Here is a 3,716-nt window from a genome sequence, read left to right as displayed (position 1 = left end):
CACCCACCACCACACCCAGCTAATTTTTGTATTTTTAGTAGAGATGGGGTTTCACCATCTTAGCCAGGCTGGTCTTGAACTCCTGACCTCATGTTCCACCTGCCTCAGCTTCCCAAAGTGCTGGGATTACAGGGGTGAGCCACTGAGCCTGGCCAGTCATCCTTTTTTAAAACCCACTCCTGGCACGTAGTGAGGGGCTGTAGGAAATGAAAAACTAGCAATTAGAGAGATGTCACCATATGGCAAGAATGTTATCTCACTTATTCTTTACAACTACGTTGTACAGAAGGCTACTAGTATTCCCAAGAAAAAAGTGATGATCAAAGAGGCTAACATGTTTGCCCATGGTCACAAAGCCAGTGTGTGGCCAAGATGGTGTGGACCCAGAATGGTACCTTCCAAAACCAAGGTCTTCCACTTCAGCGCTGTGGGTGTCTGCTCTACCAAATGCATTTCTGCATGGGTCTACTGCTGAGTAACTCTGGCTTTTATCACACAAATCACTTGACTTCCCAAAGTCTGGTTTCTTCAGCTCTTTGTTAGATTTTTACCTGTCTCTAGGGAAGGAGGAGATTACATCATACATAGACACACATATACACACATCAAATTTGTGTTTGCTCATTTACACTGCATCACATTTGAAATATAATTCAAATTGGAGGTTAAAATTAGATTATGTTTCTAGAGGAACCCTTGCGCTCTTCATACTCTTCAAAATATCTACTTAAGATGTTGACAAACCACCAAACAAAGAGGCATACACTGGTTAGAATCTTTAAAATGAGATCTTATAATTTAAAATTAATTCTATTTGTTTGATATGAAGAAAAGAAGTGAAACAATAGTGCATCAGGTAAAATAGAAGAAGATTCTGAAGTTAGACTGCCAGGTTTAAATTATACATGATGATTAAGCATATTCCCATTTTGCTGAAATTAAATATTGAAATAAATTGTGGCAGTTGATTTGCCAACTGCATGATGAGTTGTTATAATAAAACAGAGAAATGACAATGATTTGAGTTAACATTTACAGATTCCCTCTATTCTAGACAAATGTTTTCTCATCCTCACCATTCTACAAAGTTATTAGTAGCATGCTCATTATACAACGAGGAAGCTGAAGTTGCCAGTGGTGAAGTAACCTGTCCAAGCTGAGAGAGCTGGGAAGGGAAAGAGCAGGTAATACAAGCCCAGGTCAGCATGTGTCCAAAGTCCATTATTTTATCAGTATCTTTCATCAGAGAGTGCATTCTGGTGGACAAGGCAAAAATATTTTCTTCATTTTTCATTTCTTCTAAGGAAAGCAAAACAAAACTAAAACAGGAAGCAGTAAGAATGATGAATCAATTCTAATGAAAGAATCTAACTAGAGAATAGGCCAAAATGAGTAGAAAGGACATTGTCCATATATAATATTGTTATTAGTAAAAACAGGCCAGGCACAGTGGCTCATGCCTATAATCCCAGCACTTTGGGAGGCCAAGGTGGGTGGATCATTTGAGGTCAGGAGTTCGAGACCAGCCTAGCCAACATGGTGAAACCCTGTCTCTACTTAAAAAAAAAAAAAAAAAAAAAAAAAGAAAGAAAGAAAAAAGAAAAAGAAAATACAAAAATTAGCTGGGTGTGGTGGCAAGTGCCTGTAATCCCAGCTACCTGGTAGGCTGAGGCAAGAGAATCTCTTGAACTCGGGAGGCAGAGGTTGTAGTGAGCCAAGTTTGCACCATCGCACTCCAGCCTGGGCAACTGTGAAAGACCCTGTCTCAAAAAAAATAAAAATAAAATAAAATAATAAAAATAAAAACAGTAATCTCTAAAGGAAAAAGACAACATCTTGGGATAGGAAAAATAAATTAATGATGATATGAGGAGATGAAGGAATGAAAGAAGAGATGGACTTCTCCCTGTTACTTGAAAAATAAAGACTAGGTAAAAACAAACAACAACAAAAAACAGGAAAATAGATTGTAGGTACATAAGCAACTAAATGCTATCAAATAGAGTATTGCCTGGAAAATAGAGACTTGATTTAAAAAGAAAATAGATTTTAGAGACGTAAGCAACTAAATACTATCAAATCAGTAAATACTAATAAAGCAACTAATTAATAAATACTAATACATAAATAGGAAATATTGAATACCTCAGTGTATCAAAGTGTATCACTGAGTATTGAAAGGTGTAAACAAGGTAATTGCCTTCTGAAACAGTAGAAAATGGTAAGAAAATTAAAGAATCAGGACTAAGTTGTTTTCTAGCTTATAATAACCTTTGAATAATGATAAATAATATTTTTAGTACTTTCTATGTACCTGACTTACGTTAAGAGCTTTCTATTTATTTTCTCATTTAGCTCTCAATAAATAGGAGGAGATAATGGTATTGTCCCAATTTTATGAATGGAAACTTCCCCAAGGTCACGAATTACTAAGCAGTAGAGCTGTGATTGGAACCCACTCACACATTTGCTACCATTGCAATGTATTATCTTTTGTACTCTTTATATATACAGTAGCTTTTGCCCTTAGATACATTTATAATAAATTTAACAACTTTTCTGGAACCTAGCTTTGGGTCATTGTGTAATGATGATGATCCTGACTTCAAACACAATGCTCTACTTTTTTTGTTGTTGTTCTTATATACTGTGTTTCTTTACACATGAATAACTTTCTAGCAGTAGATATATTTTCTCAAAGAAGTCTGAAATTGAATGGAATATGTAATTCTTAAGAGTTGCTTACTCATATGAAGGGTGCTTTATACACTTCACAAAACTCTGGCATAGAAGCATAATAAAGAATATATTTTCATTTAAAATGCTAAGTCTTTGATCTATGATCTAAATCACATTAATTCAGACTCTGCCAATTTGAAATTCATTGACTTATAGAATTTTAGAAATGAGCAAATTAGAAGGATAAGTAGAAGTTCAGTGGGAATATTTATCCTCCTTAGGAAAACACATTTGGGGCACTTAAAAAAATAGAAATCTTGTAGCTGTTTACAAACAGTATGCCAATCTCAAATGATTTTTACATCACTATTAAAAGTAGTCTAGTAGTACCTCTTCCTTGTCAATATATTTGGGTCTCATGTGTACCCAAGAATAACAAACAGGCTGAGCGCAGTGGCTCACGCCTGTAATCCCAGAACTTTGGGAGGCCAAGGTGGGCGGATCACCTGAGGTCGGGAGTTTGAGACCAGCTCGAACAACATGGAGAAACCCAGTGTCTACTAAAAATACAAAATTAGCCGGGCGTGGTGGCACATGCCTGTAATCCCAGCTACTCAGGAGGCTGAGGCAGGAAAGTCGCTTGAACCCTGGAGGCAGAGGTTGCGGTGAGCCGAGATCATGCCATTGCACTCCAGCCTGGGCAACAAGACTGAAACTCAGTACCCCCCTCAAAAAAAAAAAAAAAAAGAATGACAAACATATTTTATGATTAGTATACTTTAGCTTCGACTATTTATCTCTATAGATTTGTCTTAAACTGGTGAGTCTGAGATGCATTTAAAATAATCTAAAATAAGCAACTTAATTATAATCAAAGCACATAAGACTATATAAACCCTATGAAGCACAAGTATTATCAATATTTTAGTCCTGAATAATCTCAGAAAGCTCTGACTTCTTAGAACAGTATTTCTCACACTGTTTTTCTGCAACAAATAAATAGGTATGCTTCAGAAAAAGTATGCTGTCATATAAAG

The sequence above is a fragment of the Homo sapiens genome, chromosome 5 (genome assembly GCF_000001405.40).
Source record: "Homo sapiens chromosome 5, GRCh38.p14 Primary Assembly".
In the NCBI taxonomy this organism is placed as follows: domain Eukaryota; kingdom Metazoa; phylum Chordata; class Mammalia; order Primates; family Hominidae; genus Homo; species Homo sapiens.
The sequence above is the reverse complement of the archived record's forward strand: the minus strand, read 5'-3'. Positions refer to the sequence as shown.